General features: G+C 45.6%; 1 protein-coding gene across 10 annotated transcripts in view; it reads right to left on the bottom strand.

Annotated features, from left to right (window-relative positions):
* The window catches only part of CEMIP (cell migration inducing hyaluronidase 1), a 172402-nt gene that overhangs the window by 56793 nt on the left and 97029 nt on the right, over positions 1-18580 (bottom strand). For all 10 annotated transcript variants that reach the window (XM_047432894.1, XM_047432897.1, XM_047432893.1 and 7 more), the window contains 7 exons: positions 16112-16258; positions 15125-15263; positions 13843-14079; positions 10625-10804; positions 7215-7285; positions 6183-6278; positions 5387-5508 (listed from right to left, as the gene is read on the bottom strand). In XM_047432894.1, coding sequence (XP_047288850.1) covers positions 5387-5508; positions 6183-6278; positions 7215-7285; positions 10625-10804; positions 13843-14079; positions 15125-15263; positions 16112-16258 — 992 coding nt within the window. The remainder of the gene's footprint in view (positions 1-5386; positions 5509-6182; positions 6279-7214; positions 7286-10624; positions 10805-13842; positions 14080-15124; positions 15264-16111; positions 16259-18580) is intronic.

Genomic DNA, 18580 nt, shown 5'->3' with positions numbered 1-18580 from the left:
ACAGAAATTACAGAGCAAAGTCGTTTTTTTTTTATAGAGAAGGAAGGTGCTGATTAATGTTCTAAACATATACTCAGAAGTCTAAAATTGTCCCTGCTGCAACACTATTTACAACGGCCCGAGATGATTATCCCAATGATTGCCCCCATCAGTTTTGTTATGAGAAAGACAGCCTAAAGTCTTGGAATAGATAAATGCCTGGCCTGAGGTCCTACAGTACTCAGTATCGAAACCAGTGATCTACTGCTTATGGCTGGGTGAACATTTTACGGAGCATTTACAATAAGTAGCCACTCTTCTAGGATCTGGGCTGGCCACTTTTTACAATTTGCACCACCACTACCAGCACCATGAACAGCGGCCAACAGTCCAAACATGGTTCTGCATCCCATGGGGAGGAGTCTTTAAAAAATACTCATGCCCAGTCCCCATCCTCGGAGCCTCAGATTTGATTGTGTCTGGGGTGCAGCATGGACATCTGGACTTTGAAAAGTTGTCCAGGTGATTCTAATGGGCAAGAAAGTTTGAGAACCACTAAAGCTAGATGTTTACCTATATTATCTCATTTCATCTTCATAGCAAAACTATGAGGCTGCTGTTAGTTTTACAGATAAGGAAACTCATCCTCAGAGAGGTTCAGTTACTTACCCAGGATCACAAAGCCAGTAGGTGGCAGAGCTAAAACTTGAACCCAGACTTATGTAACTACATCACAACACTTCTAAGCCCCATCCACTCTTGCCCTAAGGTGGAAGCCGCCTAATGTCTTTTGTTCAAATGTCTGCCTCCTCCCACCGCATGGTGGGCTCTGGGTGGGCAAGGAGCTGGTTTTTGCCCCCTTGTCCCCAGCATTCAGCCCAGGGCCTGGCACAGAGTGAGGTCTCAGTGGATGAGGGCTGGCTGGTGAGCAGCTACAAGGCCAGGTGGAGAATTTAGGGAGCAGGCCTCCAGGGAGGGCATGATCCCTGCCAGCTGGGGCCCATCCCAGAGCCAGGGTGTGTCTGCATCCTGACCATGACTATCATTCAAAGACATGCAATTTAGAGCAAGGGCTGCAGCTGCTGTCATCTTTGGCATAGAGACCAAAGGGACCAGACTGGGGTAATAAGGAAGGAAAGTATAGCCAGTCAAAAAAAAAAAAAAAGAGGAGACTTTTTAGGAAACATTGTTTTAAACCCAGCAGCTCCGTTATCTTTGGCTTGGAAGAAGAGCCATGTGGATGTGAGTTCAGCCACAATTAAAACTCAGTCATTTCCTGCAAAAACACACTCACACCCCCTATCTCAGGTGGTCTCTGCAGCAGCCAGAGAGGCAGGGGTTGCAAACTTGCTTTTAGACGGAGGTCAACGCTGATGCTCAGAGGGGTTCAGATGTAAGCTCAAGGTCAGTTAAGGTAAGCCCAGCTCCTCGGGCCTCCTGAAGTTTTCCCCTGAGGGTAGCATGTTCTTCAATTGGAGACCCCGTAAGATTGAGAACTGAGCCTGAAAACATTATCGAAGGGGGCTGGAGATTTTTTCCAGGTATAACATCCAACAATAATTCCAGGAGAACATCTACTCAATTCTGCTGTTTTTTCTTTTTTTCCTTTTTTCTAACCTGAAAAATGACCTCAGTTTTGGATAAGAAGAGTAAAAGGAATCCATCATCATTCAGAGAAAGAGATCTTTAAGTAGACTTGAGTTTATTATTATTCTTGGTAATAATAAGTATTAACAAAATAATTATCAATATAATAACTAATAGTAAATTTATTTTATTTTATTTCATTTCATTTCATTTCATTTATTTATTTATTTTGAGACAGAGCCTCACTCTCTTGCCCAGGCTGGAGTACAATGGCGCCACCTCAGCTCACTGCAACCTCCACCTGTTCAAGCGATTCTTCTGCCTCAGCCTCCCGAGTAGCTGGGATTACAGGTGCCCGCCACCACACCCAGCTAATTTTTGTATTTTTAGTAGAGATAGGGTTTCATCAGCTTGGCCAGGCTGGTCTCGAACTCCTAACTTCAATTGATCCACCCACTTTGGCCTCCCAAAGTGCTGGGATTACCGGCGTGGGCCACCAGTCCAGCCAATAAATTAATTTTAAATAATAAAAAATGTATGGGCCACTTTTCAGTCTGCACACTTCATTGCACTGAATCCACAAAACATGCCCATGAGGAAATAATTATTATCCCTATTTTTGCTGTGAGGAAACGAGACACTAAGTAACAAGACTGTGAGTGAGGTACCCAGGGCACAAAATTTAAGGCAGCACCCACTCTTAGGGTCATGCAAGTGCAGAGTTGGCGCTGGAGGGAGCGGGCTGCCTTAAATTTTGCACCGTGGGCACCTCACTTGCTGATATGCCAAAGCTCACAAGTGGTAGAGCTGTGATCTCTCTGGCTTCAGAATATGTTTTTGTTACCATCAGGCCGACCTCTAGCCACTGCACCAGCTGCTGTGGGGAACACACAGACTGCCTGATGTCCCCAAGGAAATCTCAGTCCAGTAGATCCCACTGGCCTTGAAGGGTGGCTGGGTTTTAAGAGAGAAGGTGGGAGGCAAGAGGATTTTTCAGCCAAGGAGAGCTGAACGAAGGGCAAGACATAGAAACAGTGTGTTTTTGTTATTATAATTTTTTTCAGAATCACAAAATATCAGATCTTGGAAAAGCTTTTCTTAAGGTCAACTGTGCAGTCTTGCTGCTTCCTCTTTCTTCCCAACCTGCCTCCTCCAATCTTGCCTAGGTTGCAAATGTCCTTGACACTCCCTGGCCCAGAGGATCTGGCTATGTCAGTGCATGGCAGGTATGCCGGGACCCACTGTGTATGACACGGAGTTGGGCACTGGGGGCAGGCACAAGCAGGAAGAGGAGCACGTAAAAGCTCAGGGCCCGGGGAGGTGAGAGGCACCAGGTGACCAGAGAAAAACTGCATTTTTGCAATAGTGGCAAAAATGAGCATGTGGGGAGTTGTGTTTCATTTTAGTCTCTCCCTGGGTTAATTAACTAGGACATTTAACTTTTGGCTGATGCATTTGTCACCTGCTAAAAATGGGGAAATCCTGCTTCTCTCACCTCTTGTGAGCATAGGAAAGACTGGCTTTGTTTTTCTGGCCTTGGAAACATCCAGGAGCATATTCTACATCACCATTTTTACCTTTGATGAGCATGAAGAGATGCTCTAGCTAAGTCTGGAGATGACCATTGATTAAAGATTGGTGGCGAGAATTAGGAGTAAGCCTGATCTCTCCAGCGTGGCAACACCTTCTCTTCGGTAGAGATGGAGGTTTGAATTCACCCTTGGAGGCACATGACTCTTATCTTTTAGATGACCATCTCAATAGACCTTGGTTTTGCCAAGAAAAAGCCAAAGGTCTTATTATGGAATTGGGAGTTCTGAATGCTTTCATTGTGGGAAGACTTCCCTAAGCTTCTGAGTAAGGGGACCACACTGCTGTTGAATCTTCTGTTCTCTGAACCTCAAATAATGGAGAACTTGAATTTGGGGAATGTATTGCCAAGGGAACTCTTTTTGTTAGAAGAAAACTAGGTCTTGCAATATGGCAACAGACTAACAGTTATAGAGTGTAGGGTTGGGTCCCTATGAAGGTCTTGGCTTATGGAGCTCTCAGCCTGGGTTTAATTGTGTTTTGGGACACTCTAGGAAGGGCCTGTGTCTGTGCTGGGAGCAAAGTAAATGCAAGAGTGGGGAATGTCTAAGGAATGCTGTTTTCCTGGCACTGAGAGGTGGTCTTCCAATCAACAGTGTCTGGAGCCAGAAAACTGGCAGAGCAAACACCAGGAAAGATTTGTAGACCATGTAAGCATTCCTTGAGCATTTCCAGAAGTATTTGGAGAGGGGAGGTTGGTAAAGAGCTAGACTTCCTGTGGTCAAGTGAACTGGAGGGATAAGATTATGGCTATTTCAGAATTAAAGCTGGAACATTCAAGGTTATGAGAGAAAATTAAAATTAAATCTGGAAAGAATGTGCTGTGGGGGATCAGTGCTTTTTGATTCTGTTGGACCCAAGGAGAATCTGCAACTTGAAACTTAATCTGGGTAAATCCTTCTCAATAACACTGAAGCCATGTGAAGGGAAGAGTCTCAGCCAAATAATGAGAAAGTTTTCCTCAGACTTTGCTAAGTGCAGAACAGAGGCTCCTCCCTTGGATAAGTGGTCCTTCTTACAAGGCAAGACAGAGGGTAGAAGTTCTGCCCAGGATGGTGTGGCGGGGTGAAAGCACAGACAGATGGCCTGGGACTCGAGCTGACCTGGGACCCGAGCTTTGATATTCTAGGAAAAAGTGTTGTACAAATGGGGTAGCTATTTTTATTGGCTGAAGGAGGATAAAATGGGTGGAGATGGCCTTTCTCAAATGCCTGGTTTTTTTTTGTTTTTTTTTTTGAGTCAGAGTCTTGCTCGGTCACCCAGGCTGGAGTACAGTGGTGCGATCTCAGCTCACCACAACCTCCACCTCCTGTTTACGCAATTCTCCTGCCTCAGACCCTGAGTAGCTGGGACTACAGGCACCCGCCACCACACCAAGCTAATTTTTTTTTTTTTTTTGTATTTTTAGTCGAGAGGGGGTTTCACCATACTGGCCAGGCTGGTCTCTAACTCCTGACCTCAAGTGATCTGCCCACCTTGGCCTCCCAAAGTGCTGGGATTACAGGCATGATCCACTGAGCCCAGCTCAAATGACTTCTAATTCTCTATCAAGCATTTAAGCAGCCTCAAATCTTGTCTTGGAATGAGACTGGGCATAAGGAGATAAATCTCATTTACTTTGCCTATTTCTCCTGTCTCTCCTGTTGTTCCCAAAGCCTAGTATCCCACTGGCTCAGCTGGTGAGGCCTGTATATTTACTCAACACTTTCTTGATGGAGCCAACTGAGAACATCAAGGTCCCCTTCAGATGGAATTAACTCTAAGTGAAGATTTTGAGCAAACACTGTCCATTCTATGAATGCTGGCTTTGATTTAGCTCAATTGAGAACAAGGCCATGCGTGTGTTCTCCATCTGGGCTGGCCTGGCCTGCACCCCAAATCCTAGCTGCATCCTGTGCACTCAAGGTCCCTAAGGAAATTGACGGGGAAGTGAGGCTGGGGAGTCCAAACCCATCCCTGTGGTGGGGGCACACTCAGTCATGGCTGAAGAAGCAAGTTAAAGAGAAGGAACTCAGAAGCTGGACCCAGGAGAGAATCTGAGCCCTGGCTTTTGGGCAGATAGTAAGCCTCTGCTTCAGTCTCTAAAGTGGGAATGGTACTCTTTGGCTGACCTACCTCACAGGAGGGCAACGAGAATCACAGCACCCAAGTGACAAGAATGTCTGTGATCTATAGAGTCTTCTTCAAAACAACACATTTCTATTTTCTATTTTTGCTGTGAGTTTGGTACCTGTATATCAATGGGACGATTGCATATTTTTCCTGGGTGAGCTTTCCAGAGGTCTGAAATTTTCTCCCCACCTTTAGTCTGAGATACTTTATCATGATCGAACCACTCCGTCCACTCCACGTCTAGGCAGAAAGCAAACAGCACAGTCAGACAGGAGGTTGTCTGTGAGGGCAAGTCACACTCAGTGTTGTCTCCAAGCATCCTCAGCACCATGGGAACTGAATATTATCTGTCCATGGTTGCACCAGGCTGGGGCATGGATGGCTCTAATCAATCTGCCTATGCTCCCATGTTTTAATTAAAAAATGAGTTTCTCTTAATGAGTTTCTTACTTTTATAAAAGCAATTTATATTCTTTGTTATTGCAAAAGCAAATTAAAGAGAAAAGAAAGAAAATCCATCTGTAAACCCGTTATCCAAGGACTGCAACTAGGATTGCTGCTTTCTGCAATCCCTGCATGTGGGCTATTTGGAGGGCAGGTTCTATTCCTATCTGCATTTCCTGTTCAGTGCCATTGCCTGCCACATCAAAGATATTCCGTGAACTAAGCTGAATGCCGCAGACCCTGACTGAGGTGAAATTGAAATCTTAGCCAGAGGAGAACATCCTTCTGGGCTATGGGCTAAAGTGGCTTGTCTAATTAAAGACAACTTTTGGTTGCACATTTTTAGTTGATTCTGCAAAAATTAAAGTGGTCCTACTGGTATAAGAGATAAATCCTAGTTCTGCAAAGACAGTGATTTCTGGTCTTCTATCCCACTGTTAGGTGTCACCAAATTGTCTGAAACTCCTCACCTTGAACCCACTCACTGGACAAAGAAACATTGAAATATTCGCCATGCTCTGTCTGGAACAATTTGAATACCCGGGCAGCAGCAGAGCCTCGATGTCCTGTCAGAGAAACGAGACCCTTTAGGAGCTGGACAGACCCCCAAATTCAAAAAGTTGTGACTCCAAGGCAAGGAAACCCCCCTACGCACATGGGCATTGACTCATTTCTTTAAAAATATTTTTTAAGTAAATAAAAGAAAATTAGGACATTCATTCACTTGGGAAGAGATGATCATCCATTCTTTTGTTTCAGTTTTGAAAGTTTAGTTCCAGCCTCCCAACAAATTCAGATTGCAGAGCTCTAGCATGTCTCACGGTCTGAATTCCTCCTTGGCATTAGAACTGCAGCGCTTCCCGCAGCCTTTGCTGGGCAAAGGAGGCTACTACTGTGTCCTGAAGGCCCATCTAAAGTGTCGCTTTAGCTCTTTTTTTTTAAATTTTTTTGAGACGGGGTCTCTGTTGCTCAGGCTGGAGTGCAGTGGTGCAATCTCCTCCCAAGTAGCTGGGACTACAGGTGCCCACCACCATGCCTGGCTAATTCTTTTTTTTTTTGTAATTTTAGTAGAGACACGGTTTTACCATATTGGCCAGGGTGGTTTCGAACTCCTGACCTCAAGTGATCCACCCGCCTCGGCCTCCCAAAATGCTGGGATTACAAGCGTGAGCCACCACACCCAGCCTCGTTTTAGCTCTTAAAATACCACCCCTGCTGGCTCTATCTCAGTTCTTATCTTTTCTATGCCAATTCTAGGTTTTTGATTAAGTCAGTGAAGATTTCCATGAAAAGGGAAATATTACTGCAAGTGATGGGCCTTTGGCCAGCATTGGCCTTTGCCACTTCCATGTAAGGTGGCCAGTTAAGCGGCTGCTCACTCATCTAGACATTGGGAGCTGGGAAGCCATGCTCTGAGAAAAGTGAGATGTTCAGAAAAGCCCTGCACCTCTTGATCAGAGAGACACTGGAGGGAATCAGGCCTCCAGCCAGCTATGTATTACCATGATATTCAATATGGTCTTCCACTGAAGATGATGGATTTCCTTTCACAGTTAGAAAACTCCAAGGGTGTCTGAAAAAAAGAAAAACATAACAAAAAGTAAAGTTCTGCACGAGTCTGTACCTGCACAGAGTGTGGGGGGATGGGGCAGAGTTGAAGCAGCGTCAGGTGAAGGAGGGTCCCTCCCTGCTGTTTGGGGGAAATTCATTCACTTGCTGGGCTTCTCTTCTCCAGAAGAAGCACCTTTCTTTGCAAGCACTCCTCTGGGCTTTCTCGCTCCCTGGCCTGCCTGATGTTTGCTCCCTGTGAGCCTCTTCAGCTCCATTCTGGCAGAAGATGGGAGCATGAATCACAAATAAACAAACAAGCCAACAGACCTACTATACCACCCGCCAGGCTCAATTATGTCCTGAAGCAAATGCTTGGATACCTTCAGGAAAACATGTTCCAAGAGAGAAAGGTTATTTCTCTCATGCTCAGCTCCCCTAGAGTTGAGCTCGAGGAAAATACCAGAGGCTAACATGACTGACTGCCCTAGCCATCTGCCTTGGGCCGTGGAAAGGAGAGAAATCTCTCTTCTTCTTAATGGGGAGGGAAGCAAAAAAAGGCTTAAGGTTTTGAAAAATTGTACATCCATCATTCCTCCATGAAAGCACGTGCTGCTTTAGGGCAGCAAGGTTTTCTTACCCCATTTTGTTTTAGGCATTTTGCGTAATGCCTAATGCAGTAATGAAGTTCAGGAGACGCTACCCCCCAAAATGGCAACTTGGCATATTGAATATTTCAAGCTCAAGGAATTTGTGAAATGGCAGGAAGGAGTTTCTGACTTTCCCCTGAAGCAGGTCTAAGACCCTTATGTGAGAGGGCCTTCCTTATTCTGAGAAAAAGAGCATCCTTATCCCCAAACACAGAAGGAAGCCAAGAGGAATCTGAAGGAACAGAGACCTTGCTAAATTTCCCCTGTTTACTGTGTTTAACTCAAGCCCCTTGTCCTACCACATTTTCCCACAGCTCTCCACTTCATCAAACCTCGTGTACAGACACTCAGGTTTAACTGTGTATTTGGGTCCTCGTTTCCTTATGAAGGCTCCCATGTCGTTTAAAACTTACTATCTGAAATACATTTGTGTGCTTTTCTCCTGTTAATCAGTGATTTGTTGCAGGTGCTCCAGTCAAGAACTTAGAAGAGTAGAAGGAAAGAGATTTTCCCCCCCTACAGTAGCCCTCTCTTACTATAAGCTATCAATCGATTTTGGTGCTGAATAGCTCTCATTATTCTTGTTTTGATCTCTTGTCTTGGAAAATGAATCACTATTGAACGGTGTTTAACTGAGGTTGGGGATTTAACTGTCCACTTTCCTGCTTAAATCCTTCAGTAGCTCCCCATTGCCCTTTGGATAAAATCCAAGCTCCTTGGCACAGATTCGAAGGTCCTTTGCCCCCGCCCCCCTCCAGCCTCACCTCTCACCCCTTGCCTCTCTCATATACTGCCACTGCCTCGCCATCCCCACCTTCTTTGGGAGAGGCATGCTTTTGCCCCTGGGCCTCCGAAGCTGCTGATCTCTCTATGGGAACCAGCTTGGCCTCATCCTCATGTGTTCGTCTGCACTAAACTACACTTGCCCACTCTCTTGCTCTCTCATGCCCCGTCACCAATTTCCATTCATACCTGCCTTCCCCCAAGAGTTCAGGACACCTGGTCTAACCGAGTACCTCCCACCAGTATGTGTTCATTTCCTGAATGGGTGAACAAATGAAGGGTCCAAGTCTCAGTTCTCCTACTGATTTTAGATGCTTCAAGTTTATCACTCAAAGAATGTCTCTATACAAATGAGGTGTGGACGTGTAATTCCCACCTATGTATCTCCTTTGCCCATGTGAACAGCCCTGGCAAAAGACGGCGAGTGCCCACCTTTCCAGTGGCTCTTGCTTATAAGGAGAAAATAGTTGCTAACATTTATGGAGTGCTTATTCTGTGCCAGACATGATGACAAATATTTTGTTCATATTATCACATTTAATTGTCCTATAGTCCTTTGAGATAGCTCCTCGTATATCCCATTTTACAGATGCAGGACCAGGCAAAGAGAATGAGTCACTTGCCTGCAGTCACACCTCCTGGAAGGTGCAACCCAGACTCAAACTCAGGCCACTGGATGCCAGATCTTGGGCCCTTAGCCACTTTCTTCTTCTGCTGAGGCCGTAAATAGTCAGTTTCCTGGTGTTTCTAACTCTCACTGTAAATTAATAAACTGGCCTTTTGGTTTATAAAACAACAGAATGGAAGTGCACTTAGTGTTTGCTAACAAAGGAGGCTTGCAATGCCAAGGTGTCATTGTCATCTTTGGCTGCTTAAGTTTCCTGCTTGAGTTTCCCGTCCAGAAGAAGTAGTCTCTGGGCTGTCGGAAAATGCACTCTGGAACCTGGAGCACCCCTCCCTTGCCCAGGGAATTTCTGCCCAGCCAGCAAAATTGCTTTGCTCCAAGCCCAGAAAAGTCTCTGGCTTCCCTCTGATCTTGCTCCCAGATGTGGGAAGCTGAAGGGAGGAGCATCGTAATCTCTAAACAGCCATGGGACAGATAACCTCAACTTTCCACTGAGCTGAGATTTGATTCAACATGATAAAAAGGTGTGCTTACCATGGACACAGGGAGGGGAACAACACACACTGGGGCTTGGCAGGGGCGAGGGGCAGAGGGAGGGAGAGGATCAGGACAAATAGCTAGTGGATGCTGGGCTTAATACCGGGGTGATAGGTTGATAGGTGCAGCAAACCATCGCGGCACACGTTTACCTAGGTAACAAACAAGCACGTCCTGCATATGTATCCTGGAACTTTAAATTAAATTAAATTTTTAAAAAAGGCATTGTTTACTGTGGGGCAAACAGCTTCCTCTTAGTGTCAATGTGTGTGCATGCCAATGTCAGGCATGATGCTGCACTCCAAGGCAAACAAAACACATATTAGATCATGTCAAAGGGTTGCTTCTCCTTGGTCATTTGCCTCAGCAGAGACACTTCACATAATCTCTGAAAAACCCCAAGCCATGACATGACCTCTTTACCAAAGAAAGAGAAAATGAATATTAGCTGTGCATTGGAGGCATGGCTCTTACACACAGTAGATGCTCACTTAATATTTTGTAAGTGGCCGACTGAATGAATGAGTTCATATAAACAGCGAGCTTTTGTTTGTTTTGAGTGAACTATGCTTGTAAGAAAAAACAAGCATTCTTTAAGAACAATTCCCAAATATGCCAAACTCAGATGTCAAATGCAAATGCCTGCATCCACTAGGTCATTTAGGATGGTACGGCTGTGGGGAGAGGAGATGGGAAAGGTAAATTCTCAGTGGGATAGAGTGGCTTCAATGTTCCAGAGCCCAGTGGAAGCCGAAGTGAGGGGCAGTACCTAAATCCAAGGTGCAGGAAGTGTTTGCTTCCCAATTTGGTCATCGCCTTCCTGGCCATGTCATCCAGATTTCGAGAACCTTCATCATTCACTGCAACAGAAAGGATCCTGCCATCGGGCACCGCGTTCAAATACTGGACCAGACGTTCACTCTCTTTCTTGGATCTATAGGTGTCAAACCTAAAAAGGGCAGAGAGAAGAGATCTGAATAGTCTTGACCGCAGCCAAAACAAAGAGCTCTAAGCACATGCCTGTGCTGCGACAGCTAACATGCTATCCGATGATCCCAGGGCTGTGATTCTTAAAGAAGGAAGCCTTTTCTTTAAAGAGCAAACAAGTTTCATTATTTTGCATACCATACAGTGATATCCAAGAAGAAGGGTTTTGACTTGACCATAATGTTCATTCGCTGAGTAAAATGCCAAAGAAATGATTGCAGCAGTGAAGACTTCAAGCTCCAGGATGTTGAGTGGGTCACATACTTGAGGTCTAGGCCTTTTGATGTTCCCCTTTCATCCTGGAGGCAGAGGATCATGCCTCTTGGAAGAGCCTGACTTTAGGAGATAGTTCAGATAGCTAGGGCATTAGGAATTTATATCTCTGATCCGAGTAAAACACCAATCCCAGAATTCTTGGAAATGACATGGAGACTATCCCAAATCCCTTCTCCCACCCCTAGAGCAGCTTGCACAGAGTTACTTGCAGAGATCCAACTTAAAGTTTATTTATTGACCTGTTAATGATTCTTATGATAATGCATCTTAGAATCATTAAAATGTAATCTCTGATTCACACAGTAGCAGTCATATAACATTTGAGTATTGTAAATGTTGTTGCATTGCTATTTTCTCCTGTTTATTTTTTAAAAATTATTTTACTTTATTGTGGTAAGAACACTTACCTTGAGATCTACCCTCTTAAAATTTTAAGTGTACTATCCAGTATTTTGCAATGTTAGACAGCAGATCTCTTATAATAGCAAGAACTAATAATCTCCAAATTGACTGATAACCTGCCCTCATACACGTAAAATATCCATGAAATACAAATCACACACACAAAATCTATACCCCTGGTGAGAATAATTTACAAAGCAAAGACACAATTTTGTAATGATTCCAACTCTTCCCCATGTAAGGATAAAGATTTTATGCAATTACAGTAGAAATTCCTAAAGAGTATGTCTTGGAACTTAAGGAAAATAGTTCTAAAATGAATCTGGGAAAGTAATCTAAGGAGGTTTTTGGAAAAGAAAAACAATGTTGGTACCGGTGGTAGCTGGATAGCTGCTCCTGGGTCCTCACACTTGTTTCCAACTGTTGGCACAATCTGGTCCAGCCCCACCTAACCTCGCACCCTCCACTGACCCTCCCCAGGAAGCTCCTGCTGCAAGCCTAGTGCTTCTCAGTGCCCAGTGACCACCTCACCCGCCCACTCCTGTCTTCATCATTCCTTCCCACCTTTTCTGTACCTGATCAAGCACCTACTACCTTTCAAAAGCTGACCTAAGTTCCTGCTTCTCTAAGTAACCTTCTCAGATGACTTTTGCCTGCATTTACTTGTGTGTGTGTATGTGTGTGTGTGTGTGTGTGTGTGTATGTGTGTGCATGCGCTTATTATCTTTACTCATACACATTCATCTATCAGATTATTGAGATCTCCAACATATACTTTAAGCAAAAGATATTCGGAACAAGCAGACATTCTGTCCTTGCCATCTCTACAGCATCTGTCCAGATCACTTCTCACTAACAGGTCAGTAAATAAACTTTAAGTTGGATCTCTTCAAGTAACACTGTTGTACTTAAGAAACAGCACCAAAAAGATCAGCACACAATTGAAGAGGACATCCTCTCTAGTGTGAAGGCAGGGGCTCCCTGACATACTTTGTGTCAATCAAGGTGTCAGCCGTTATCCGTGGAGGCGATACAGGCACACCTGGGTTTGAATCCCATCTCCAACACTTTCCAACCTTGTGACTGAGTAAATTTAGCCCTGTGAGCCTCAGTGCTTTCATCTCTACAAGGTAGATAATAACAGAACTTGCCTCACAGAATTTTGATGAAGATTGAAGTATATTTGACAGGTAAAGTGATGAACAGTGTTTTACGGGGAGAAAGTCCAGTGACTGTTATAGGTACTAATGTTTACCGGCAAGGTTGGGTGTCTGTGAGCACCAGCAAGCACTTCAGCTCCTGCCCACCCTGCCCCTGACCGTAGCTGGCTCCTGCTGCCTTCATGGTGACACCCACAGCTCGGGCCCTGTTCTTGAGGAATGCCTGTCTCCCTTCCCCAGCAGCCCCAGGGTAGCTCTGTCTCTGTTTGTCTACCCCACCTCTGTCCTTCCCTCTAAAGGGCCAGGATGAGAGCTCCTGGGACTGCAGGGCAGGTCCAGCCTTGGCAGCATCTGCCAGCTTACACCTGCCCATGCTGCCTTCCAAACATCTCTCAGGTACATCCACTAGCCGCCGTTCCTTCTGGGTCCTCATCACTGCCATGTCTTGCCTAGACCACAGCAGAAGCTTCCTAACCCCCTGCACCATCTTTGCTTTTGCCTCACAATTAAAACCATTCTCTACAGCCAGAAGGTACTTTTAAATCAGATCATGCTCTTCTTAAAGACTTTCAGTGACTTTGCATCCCACTTAGAAGAAAACCCACGTCCTTACCGCAGCCTCCGAGGTCCTGTCCCGCCCCCATTTGTAACTCCCATGTGATTGCATGCTGCTCTTCCGCCACTCGCTGTGCTCCCACAACTCTGGTGGCCTTTCCATCGTTTGAGAATGTCATGCCCTTTCATACCTCCGGCCTTCTGCACTTGCTGTCTGTCTTGAACACTCTTTCCCTGACATATCCTCACCCTTCATTTCTCAGCTCAAATGTTGCATCCTTACACTGCCTTTCCCTGACCACCCTATCCAAAGTGGTCTTCCCTAGTTACACTCTAGCATCTCACTCTGTCTTTTTTCCCCCTTACTACCAATTATCACAATCTGAAACTACGTTGTATGTACATATGTGTGCATGCTTGCTCCTCTTCAATTCAGCATCATTAGGCCAATGCCTGGGGAAGGACAGAACTCCTTGAAGGCAGGGATTCCCATCTGTTTCATTCACTGCTGTTCTCCCAGCACCTAGAGCGGCACCTGGCCAGGGAGCACACTCAATAAGTGTACTTTGAATGAATGAGTATACGTTTAAGTGAAGGCAAACCTTACCGGTCAGAATGGATGACTGTGCCTGATTTGGGGTCGATGACATGAACAATAACTCCACGGTGGCCCCAGCTCCTTTCAAAAAAATAGCCTCCTTCTGCCATGCCACCTGGGTGAAGGGTCTTGTTCAGAAATGTCCAGGAGAGCTTTTTCTGTCCATGCAACTCAAGAGCGCCTCCTTTACCAACCCCAATGTACTTCAGACCATAGTAAGGATCCGGCTGAATACCTTCATCAGCCCTGCAAGAGAAAACAGCTCCCCAGAGTTGGCTGACACATCTCTTTACTGGATACTGAACCCAGAGGGAACCTAGGAGTCACAGCTCAGCTCCCTGACCCCCCACCACGGCCACCATAGAGCCAGTCACACTTTTATCACCTGAGGTCAGTAAAAATAACACTAGCGGCTGGGCTTGTGGCTCATGCCTGTAATCCCAGCACTTTGAGAGGCCGAGACAGGCAGATCACTTGAGGTCAGGAGTTCAAGACCAGCCTGGCCAACGTGGTGAAACTCCATCTCTACTAAAGATACAAGAATCAGCCAGGCGTGGTGGAACATGCCTGTAGTTTCAGCTATTTGGGAAGCTGAGGCACCAGAATTGCTTAAACCAGGAGGCAGAGGTTGTGGTGAACTGAGCTCATGCCACTGCACTCCAGCCTGGGCCACAGAGCAAGATTCCATCTCAAAACAACAACAACAATAACAACAAAAACATTAGCAACCCAATCTTCCTAAGCCAGACCAAAATAAAGCCCTCAGGGCCAAGCAGACGTGCCAATTATTAGTTCACAAGTTGGCATGTTTTCCATTCAGTTCTAAGTGTTTTGTATTTTTGTCCATATCAGATGTGGAATCACCTGGACATGCGCTGCATATCCTTGTGCATTCCTGACTCTCACTTCTTAGCACTCTCAATTGTTTAAAGAGGGAACACAGCCAGGGGCAAGTACCACATGGAATTTTCCTGTATCTTGTCCATCGTAGCCTATTATATAAACACTTGCAGAGCCTCCCTGAACATGACATGATTGGAAGGTGGCTGAAAGGCTGGCAGGCCCGTCTCTAAAACAAGTACAGCATCCAGGCCACTATAAATAACAAGCCTTATGGACTTCAGCTCTCCCAAATCACCATGTCTGTCTTGTTCATGATCCCCATCTGGCAGGACAGAATGATTCCTATCTTACAGGCAAGCTTGCCCTCTTGCCTCTCTCTCTGTCTTGGAAAGTCTCCCTCTTGTCAGATCCATGGGTAGCATTTGATCTGTAGGAGTGGTCTACGCACCTTCCATACAAAATGATGGTGAAATTGCCCTGGAAAGGGCAGAGGGCACTCCCAGCATGCAGCTCTCCTCCGTTGTCAATCAGGATGTGCCGGGTTCGCAAAACAATCGGCTCGTCGTGGTCTTTAATGACCAGCTTGCCTGAAGAGGTAGCATTGGGGGGAGGTTTAATAACACAGTGTTAAGGGTAAGGTTATATCAGAGCCAAGGGCAGACTCCCTAAGCACTCCCCATCTCACCGGGGCAGGCAAAAAGGCACATCTTCCAAACATTCCTATGCTTGGTGTACTTACAAGTAAAGTCATCCCTCAGTATCTGAAGGGAATTGGTTCCAGCACCTCCCAGATACCAAACTCCATGGATGCTCCAGTCGCTGATTAAATGGCATAGTATTTGCATATTTGCATCTAACCTATGCACATCCTCCCATATACTTGAAATCATCTCTAGATTGCTTATAATACCTAGTTCAATGTAAATACTGTATAAATAGTTGTCAAACTGTATTTTAAGGAAATAATGACAAGGAAAAATCTGTACATGTTCGGTACAGGTGCAAATTATTTGGAATATTTTCAACCTCGAATTGGTTGAATTCACGAGCAGAACCCACAGATATAGATGGCTGGCTGTAATTACTTTTCTATGCTCTCTGCTTTGCAATGTGTAAATAATGCCTGTCTGGTCAAATGCCATCACTGCATGTACTGCATTCAATGACCAGGCCTCTAAAAGTAAGATAAACAGAATTACTCAAGACACCAATAAGGAGTTTTCTCGATAAGTGCTCCTTTCACTAAGATTGGACCTCCGACAAGCCATTCCTAACAGCTCAGAGCTGATGGTTATCTCAGACAACCAAATGCCAACATGAACCCAAAGCATGTGATGTTTATTCTGTCCATCTGAGCTCATGGCAACCTGCATCCTATCTGCTAAGCTCTGGGGCAGTGGAGGGAAGAGGGAGCAGCAGAGAGAGATTGGCTTACCTCCCTCTGAGATGTGGATGGAATAGACCGTGGCAGAAGAGGTGAGCAGCAGTGTCTTGCCCTGGCCGATATGCACATGGTGGTCTTGGTCATGGCCAGGGTTCCAGGGTTGCAACTCAGGGCTCTGGTCAGGGCACCCAGCAGCCACTGCCAAGGACAGAGAGATGTCACTGCTCCCATCTACCAGCCTCACCAAGCAAGAATGCTACAGGCCAAAAGGGGGCTCCCATGCATCTTTAAGGCCCCTACCTCCTCTCTGTTAGAGCTAAAAGCAAGACCTTAGAGAGCTGAGAGACCTCCTGACATAGGAGGCAGGAACCATGGGGACCAGTCATATATTTTGCATGAATTCATCACATATCTGTGAATAAGTCACTTCCCTTTTCTGGGTTCAGTTTCCCCATTTAATAAATAAAGCGTAGACCAGATGGCTTCTCAGGACATTCCAAGCTCTGAAGTTATGCAATGATTTACCTAGACTACTCAGATTCCAGGACATTCTGTCTTCTGGAAAGCAACATTTGAATAGCTAATGAAGCTCTTTCCCTTTCTGCATGAGAATTAGACCTTTTGTTAATTTTCTAGCTCTGTTCCCCTGGAAACCTGAGAAAGATAGTATTATATAAATTGTTACGTAGCAACATTGTTTATAACAAAGTGACCCCTGATTGGTGAATGTCATCTAAACTGGGAGGAACTATAGTTTATATCTATACGTGGTGGAGATGTCACACTGTAGGCTTCCCTGAGTGCAGTGACTCTTATAATGGGACATTTTGCAAGAACCCTGAAAGTTACATCTACGGAGTTGCTACTGGCTCCAGTGGGGCATGAGGCTTCTAAGACACAGTGGTCTCCACACTTGTCCAGTTACAGTCTGATTTCCTCTCACCTGAGCTGTCACCTAGAGAACCAAAGAGAATAGTTTCTAGATGGCTGTCTGGAAGGCTGCCAGGACCATTCCCATGGAAGAGAGGAGGCTGATGCTGCTCTGATGGCATCTGTGTTTCCTATTCTATATTTTCCAAAGGAGTCTGAGGACCAGTGTGACATGTGGTCACCAGTGTGAATGTTTAGTTGAGCCTAAAAAGACCGGGGGTGGGTATTGCAGAGGCACTTCTCCCTGACCTCTGCAGAAGCACAGGAAAGAGTCTCAATGTTCACATAGCTAACAAGGCTTGACCCAGCAGTGTCCTGAGGTGGGCTTGAGTGAGGAGGACTGGCGCTGTCACAGAAACTGGAACAATCTCCATCAATAGCATGGAAAATCCAGAGGGAAACAGGTGGGAAGAGACAATGGACAAAACAAGATGAGAATGAACTGGCTCCAAGAACAAGCCCCAGTGCCCTCCTTTTTTCTGTGACCAGAAGGGAGCGAAGTATGAAACAGTAGCTTTCAAATTAACCCGGGTTGGGGGTGAGGAGGTGGGAAGGTGACGTGCAGGTAAGCTCATGGCAGAGCAAGGTTTCAGATGAGAAACTCTGGGGCAGGTACTGGAAGGAATGGAAGCAAGCTCACAGCTCAGGCCCTGCAGAAGGGAGCCTAGGAGAGGCTGTGTCTCTTGAGCAAAGAAGGTGTCTCTTGAGCAAAGAAACCCTGGGAGGGATTCTGGCTTCAGTGCATGCTATGGTTTGGCTGTGTCCTCACCCAAATCTCATCTTGAATTGTAGCTCTCACAATTCCCATGTGTTGTGAGAGGGACCCAGTGGGATATAATTGAATCATGGGGGTGGTTTTCTCCATAGTGTTCTCATGGTGGTGAATACGTCTCAGGAAATCTGATGGTTTTATCAGGGGAATCGCCTTTCACTTCGTTCTCATTTCCTCTTGTCCACTGCCCTGTAAGATGTGCCTTTCACCTTCTACCATGATTGTGAGGCCTCCCCAGTCATGTGGAACTGTGAGTCCATTAAACCTCTTTCTCTTTACAAATTATCCAGCCGCGGGTATGTCTTTATCAGCAGCATGAAAACAGACTAATACAGTGCAATTATGAGCGTGTCAGTTCTAAATGCGCCTTGATTTTTGTTCAGCTATCTCCAGAGTAGGAGTGTCTGTCCCATATTTATATATGTCAAGGAAAACTGGAAGGAAGCTCCCCCTTCATCTGCACTCAGCAGCACCAGATACAGACCCCACACCCACACTGAGTTGTCCTCTTTGCCCATTGGAAGGCAGCTACTGGCCCTTCTCTTCTCTGCAAAGCAGAGTGCAGGCACTTAGTGTCCGCTTGCTGGGTCTCATCCTCATCCCTGCTTCCAGCCCCATAACAACCCTCCTCTAGGCTCCCTCTGCCTTGCTGTCAGCCCTAGCACAGGCTTTGGATCTCTTTCATCAAGAAAAGAATTTCACATTTTTTGGAGTTTCACCAAAGTAGCTCTTCCAGCTATTGTAAATGTCAAGGGGCTCAAGCAGTGGCAACAAAAGGAAAAAATGTGGGAAGACGTGGGCTTGCTCATCAGTGGACT

This window comes from Homo sapiens, chromosome 15 (genome assembly GCF_000001405.40).
Source record: "Homo sapiens chromosome 15, GRCh38.p14 Primary Assembly".
Taxonomy (NCBI): Eukaryota; Metazoa; Chordata; class Mammalia; order Primates; family Hominidae; genus Homo; species Homo sapiens.
Note: the sequence above shows the minus strand (reverse complement) of the source record. Positions and strands in the feature narration are given on the sequence as shown.